This window comes from Homo sapiens, chromosome 1 (assembly GCF_000001405.40).
Source record: "Homo sapiens chromosome 1, GRCh38.p14 Primary Assembly".
Taxonomy (NCBI): domain Eukaryota; kingdom Metazoa; phylum Chordata; class Mammalia; order Primates; family Hominidae; genus Homo; species Homo sapiens.
In genome coordinates this window covers 196,031,488-196,038,527 of record NC_000001.11, presented here as the reverse complement: position 1 = coordinate 196,038,527, position 7,040 = coordinate 196,031,488, and the positions used below count along the sequence as shown (strand labels likewise).

The 7,040-nt window shown below is 34.5% G+C and overlaps 1 annotated feature.

The window, feature by feature from the left end:
* Window positions 4,026–4,613: an enhancer, noted in NCBI's record as "OCT4-NANOG hESC enhancer chr1:196003045-196003632 (GRCh37/hg19 assembly coordinates)". NCBI's record gives its function as "activates a minimal SCP1, AML or CMV promoter by ChIP-STARR-seq in naive and primed H9 embryonic stem cells {active_cell/tissue: H9 hESC(naive and primed)}" and the evidence as "EXISTENCE:reporter gene assay evidence [ECO:0000049][PMID:30033119]".

Below are 7,040 nucleotides of genomic sequence, written 5' to 3'. Positions count from 1 at the left end.
ATGTCCTTTGTAGGGACATGGATGAAGCTGGAAACCATCATTCTCAGCAAACTATCACAAGGACAAAAAAACAAACACCACATGTTCTCACTCATACGTGGGAATTGAACAATGAGAACACTTGGACACAGGAAGGTAAACATCACACACTGGGGCCTGTTGTGGGGTGGGGGGAGGGAGGAGGGATGGCATTAGGAGATATACCTAATGCAAATGACGAGTTAATGGGTGCAGCACACCAACATGGCAAATGTATACATATGTAACAAACCTGCATGTTGTGCACATGTACCCTAGAACTTAAAGTATAATAAAAAAATTTTAAAAAAAAAGATTCTTATTGGAGTGCGATATCAATTGTGAACTGTGCATGCAAGGGATCTAGGTTGCATGCTCCTTATGAGAATCTAATGCTGTATGACCTGTCACCATCTTCCATCACCCCCAGATGGGACCATCTACTTGCAGGAAAACAAGCTTGAGGCTCCCATTGATTCTTCAATATGGTGAGTTGTATAATTATTTCATTATATGTCAAAATATAATAATAATATAAATAAAGTACACAATAAATGTAATGTGCTTGAATCATCCCAAAATCATCCTCCACCCATCCACGGAAAAATTGCCTTTAACAAAACTAGTCTCTTGGGAGGCTGAGGCAGGCGGATCACTTGAGATCAGGAGCTCAAAACCAGCCTAGCCAACATTGTGAAACCCCACTTCTACTAAAAATACAAAAAAAAAAAAAAAAAATTAGTTGAGCATGGTGGTGGGTGCCTGTAATCCCAGCCACTCAGGAGGCAGAAGCAGGAGAATCGCTTGAACCGGAGAGGCGAGGGTTGCATTCCAGCCTGGGCAAGAGAGCGAGACTCCATCTCAAAAAAAAAAAAAAAAACAAACAAAAAAAACAAACAAACACAAAAAACAACAATAAAAAAACTGTTCTCTGGTGCCAAAAAGGGGACTGCTGTTCTAAAAAACTTATGAAAAAATTGAAGAGGACAAACAAAAAATGGAAAGTCATCTCATGCTTATGAATTAGAAGAAGTAATGATGTTAAAATGACCATAAAACCCAAAGTGATCTTCAATGTAATCCTTATCAAAATACCATAACATTATTCACAAATAGAAAAAGAATTCTAAAATTTGTGTGGAATTTTAAAAGACTGAATATCTAAAGCAATACTGAGTGAAACAAACAAAAAAACAACTGGAAGCATCATACTACATGATTTCAAATTATAATACAAATCTAAAGTAATCAAAAAATTTTGGCATTATGTTGAAACAGACACATCAACCAATGGAACAGAGTAGAAAACTCAGAAATAAATTCCCATATTCACAACCAACTGATTTTTACAGAGGCACCAAAAACATACATTGAAGAAAGACACTGACTTCAATAAATGTTGCTGGAAAAACTGGATATCCATATGCAGAAGAATGAATCTAGACCCCCTTCTCTCACCATATTTTTAAAAAAGCTTAAAATAGATTAAAAACTTAAATGTAAGAAACAAAACTGTCAGACTACTAAAAGAAAACATGAAAAAAATGCTTCAAGACATTGGTCTAGGCGAAGATTTTATGGGTAAGACTTCAAATGCACAGATAACAAAAGCAAAAACATATATGAGACTATGTCAAACTAAACACATTTTTTCACAGTAAAGAAAACAATCAATACAGTGAAGAGACAATCTGTTGAATGGGAGAAAATATTTGCAAACTATACATTGGACAAAATACTAATATTCTAGATAGACAAGGAACTCAAACAACTCAACAGCCAAAAGCAAATAATCTGATTTTAAAATGGGCAAACGCTGTGAGTAGACATTTCTCAAAAAAATCATACAAATGACCAAGTAAATTTTAAAATTTTAACATCACTAATCTTCAGAGAAATGCAAATAAAATATCACCTTACCTTAGCTAGCACAGCTATCACCAAAAAGACAAAACAAAACAAAAAAACCAACAACAACAAGAAATCCCCCAAATGCTAGTAAGGATACAGAGAAAAAGAAACTCTTACACACTGTTGGTGGGAATGTAAATTAGTATAGCCATTATGGAAAACAGTATGTAGGTTTCTCAAAAACTAAAAGTAGAAATAGAAATCCAGCAATTCCCCTACTGTATATTTATTCAAAGGTTAGGAAATAAGTACATGGAAGATATATGTACATTCTTATGTTTATGGCAATACTATTCACAATAGCCAAGATATAGAATGAACCTACATTTCCATCCACAGATGAATGGATAAAGAAAATGTGTTGTATATACACAGTGGAATGCTATTCAGCCATAAGAAAGAAGTAAATTTTGTCCTTTGTGGCAACATGAATCAGCCTAGAGGACATGATGTTAAATGAGATAAGTCAGGTATAGAAAGAAAAGCATTTTATCTGTTAATTCATATGTGAAAACTAAAAAAGTTGTACTCATAGAAGTAGAGAGTAGAACTGTGGTTATTGGGGGCATGAGAGACTAGTAGAGAGGGGAGGCTAGAGAGAAATTGGTTAATTGATACAAAATTATAGCTAGACAGGAGGAATGAGTTCTAGACCTCTATAGCTCTATAGTGTGAATATAGTTCACAATAATTTATTGTGTATTTTCAAAAAGCTGGAAGAGAGGAATTTGTATGCTCCCAACACACAACAAAGTAATATATGTTTGTGTTGATGAATATGCTCATTACTCTGATTTGATTATTACACATAGTATACAAGTATAGAAATATTGCTCTGAATTTCATAAATATGTATGATTATTGTGTGTCAACTAAAAATAAAAGAGGGAACAAAAAAAGCCAGACCACTGAAAAGGAAGATGGATAAAAGGCAAACAGATATTTCACAAAGAAGGATATCCACTATTAAACCAAAGAAAAGGTGCTTAGCTCAACTAATCATTGGGGAAGTGGAACTTAAACTCACAATGTGACAGCACTACATACCTACCAATCTAGCTGAAGTAAACAAATCAAAAACAAGTATGTTTTACATGCATATGAGAGGCTGTGGAATAACTAACTCACACTTTCCTGGGAGTGGAAATTGATGCAACCATTTTGGAACTATCAGCAACTTCTAAAACTTAATCACATATATTATGATCCATTCATTTCACTTCTGTGTATATACCAACACAAATACACACACACACACAAATGTTCATAAAAGCACTAACAAAAATAGCCTCAACCTGGAAATAATCCAAATGCCCAGTAATAGCAGAAATGAAAAATACGTTTATTTTACAATATTGAGAATGAGAAACTACATGTCATGTGAAACAACATAGGTGAATCTCAAACACATTGGTGAAAGAATAAACCCAAACACAAGTGAGTGCGTATTTGTATTTCTGTTTATGGAAAATATTTATGTTCAAAACAGGTAAAACTAACCAATGCTGTTAGAAGATGGGATAGCGGTTACCCTTGATTCAGTAAGTACTAGAAGAAAGTAGTAGGAGCATCTGGGAAGCTGCTAACATTCTGTTTTTTGATGTGAGTGCTAATTATACAGGCGTGTAACCTTAAAATTTATTATTTTTCCTTTTGTGTTGTATAACACTAACTTTTCTCTAGGTTTGCTTCATTTCAATACAATTTATACCCTCCTGAAAAATGCAAATTAAAAGAACTTATTTATATTAGCATGTAATAAAGGTATTATATGCATAAAACAATTATGCAATTCAATTTTTTATACTTTTTATTAAATTATTATCTTGTATATCACATCATATAGCCAAGCAAATGTTTAAAGTTTAGTAGAATATTTTATTTAAAACTTTATTGGATGTTTAATATTCTAGGCTAGAAGGTAGCGATATAGCAGTAATCTAGATATGCAAGTCACCTGACATGAGAGAACTCTGGACTAGATCAAGACCGTTGTTATCAAGTTATTTCGATATGAGTTCAAAAATAGAATTTCTTGAATTTCAGATAAACTGCCTTTCATGGGTACCAACCATTGTGCAATATATTTTGTTGACACATGGGAAGAATTATATACTTCATAGTCCACTTAGTCAAGCCAATATATTCATGTGGATTTTAAATTATGAGTTTTCTAACAAATGAATGCAAGCAGCAAATTGAGTTAAGTGAAACACGCTATTTTTCCACCCAATTATAGTTCTTAAATCTCTAAAAGGGAAACATCTGTTGAGCCAGTTATAGAGCTGGTTGCTGACTGAGAACAGCAGGAGAGCTTGCAGTTAATCATCTGTACTCCTACCAGGAGCCCCGCTCACCAACGTGAATTACTGAGGATGGTTTCCTGAAGGATAAGACACTATGTAGTTTCCAAGTAAAGAGCAGTAAAAGTCACAGCAGGCAGAAATGGGAATTGGCACTTTAACAAAAGGAGGAGGAGTTCTTAACAGTTTCAATAGTAGCTCAGAGGTTTGTATCAGCACCTCTTTGGAAAACACAGAATAAAACCTGCTGTAAAATAAGGTATTAGTCTTAAATATAGCAAATAAATTAGTCAATTTACTGTATCTTAACGAGGTGTTAACTTGAGTAATCAGCATGTTGAATAAACCTTCAGTTTAATTTGTGTACATTTAGCATAGAGGGAAGCCGAATGAATTATCCAAGTTAGAAACAGATAAAGACAAGCAAGAAATAGAGCAGAGTATATTTTATTTTTCTCTGTTAGAAATCATCTGTTTACTACAAACTCAAGTTAGATCCTACTCTTAAATATTACTATAAATATTTATTATTTATGGGTTATAAACATGAATACAAAAATGAAACTGAAGGAAATCTACATATCTGTCTTCTGGGTTTTTTGATTCTATGGATTATATTTTCAGTGCTGAGAATCTACAACTCTGTCTCTCTCACTTTCTTTTTTCTTCTCTTTTTTCCCTTTTTTCATCTTTCTTTTTGATTCACTGAAGACAAAATTTCTGCATCCTCTTCAACAGCATAGTCAGTTTCTTTTGGCCTTTCCTTCTATAAGTTAAATAATGAACATTGCATTCAGTTTTCCCCATTATTTGTATTTATCAATATAGTAACACATTTTGTGGATTCTCATTTACAGCTTTTTGATGTTCTATCTTAATATTCCTTCTCTAGAGATCAGTATGAACTGAATTTACTGAAATTTACAAACTTAATACATCAATATTTTTGCAGAATTTTTTACTGAAGAAATTACCAAATAAATAGATTCACAGGTACTCATCAACATGTGGACCACAAATGGAAGTGTTGATTGAAATACATTTTGTTTTTAATTTGAAAACAATCAAGTCTTTAAAAAGTGGTAGATAGACAATTTTTAAATTCCCTGACCAAGTATCTTTATAAGTATCTCCAAATATGATTGAATTTTTCTTATTTAGGAATCAGATTATACCTATATAATATTCAATTTGTTATGTTTCCAGGAAATTATTTCAACGGCCACAGAAGACTATAGACATTAATAGAAATTCCTATTTTGGTGTGCTACCTCAACCTATTTACCAAATTACCCCCTAAAATCTATAGTTATGGATGGGCTCAGAAGAAGAGAAGGTTCTGCAACAGGTCCAGGCCAATCTGCTGTGACTGTGAGACATTATGACCCACCACATCTGATGGTGCTTAAAGTGTTGGTGGCAGATAGGAGTGCTGATTTGGGCCTTGAGCAGGCCACTATAGGAAAATCATTATGCATACCATTAGACTTTTGGAGCAAAACAGTGTGGATACTTATTTTCCTTTTGAGAAACAGCTTTTTTGGCTTGCCTTGGGGCTTTAGTTGAGATTGAAAACTTGACCACGGAACACCAAGTTATTATGTGATCTAAACTACTCATCATGAAATGGGTGTTTTCTGACCTACCAAGCCATAAAACTGGTCATGCACAACAGCAGTCCATTATCAAATGGAAGCGGTACAGATAAGACGGGGCTTGAACAGACCCTGAAGGCACAAGAAAGTTGAGTTGACCGAGGAATGGCCCAAGTGCCCATGGTCCTTACTTCTGCTTTGTTAATTTATGTCTCCCAGCACACAACTATAATCTCTTGGAAAATTCCCTATAACTAATTGAATGAGGAAGACAAAATTTGCGTCTGTGATTTATTGGTGATGCTGCAATATATTCAAGTATTTCTCAAAAGAGGACAGCTGCTGCACTACAGCCTGTCCTTGAAATATCCCTGAAAGACGGTGGTGAGGGTAAATCTTCCCAGTGGGCATAACTTGAAAAGTGCACCTGACCATTCATTTTTTGCCTGGAAGAAGAAATAGTTAGAGGTATAGGTTTATATTGAGTCATAGGATGTGGCCTGTTGTTTGGTAAGATGGTTAAGAACTTGGAATAAGATTAAATTTGTGATTACAGGAAGCATGTGGAGATACCTTGCCACACATGATGTGGAAATGTTAGTACCTCAAGTGAAAGATTACCAAAGGGTAACCTCAACAGAAGAGGGTTTTAATAATCAGGGGTGTAGGATTACCTGTACTGTAGATGTTAGCCTCTTTCCCTAACCACTCCTTTCGTTGACCTATAGACTTACGAAGAATGTGGCCATGATGACAGGGAGGAAGATTTACATCAGACCTGCAGTATGGACTTCTGCTCATCAATATTTACTGGTCACAGAAACTGCTGAATTCAAAATCTGCCAACAATACCATCTGTGTGCTACAGAATACCTTATTCAGGATCATATTATTCCTTATACCATCATTGTTGACCAAGGAATTTATTTTACAGCAAATAAAATGTGGCAAAGGGCCCTTGCTCGTGAAATTAACTAATCTTGCCATGATTTTCTTCATAGCATGGATAATAGTATGATGGAATGGCTTTTTGAATACTCATTTATGATGTCAGCCATATGGCAAAACTTTTCAGGGCTGAAGTAATATCCCCAGGATATTCTGCATGGTCAGCATACATGTGTGGTGCCATATCTCTTACAGTCCAAATGTATGGGTCAAGGAATCAAAAGGAGGGGAAAAAAATTAGAATGTACTATCACTATTTCTTCAG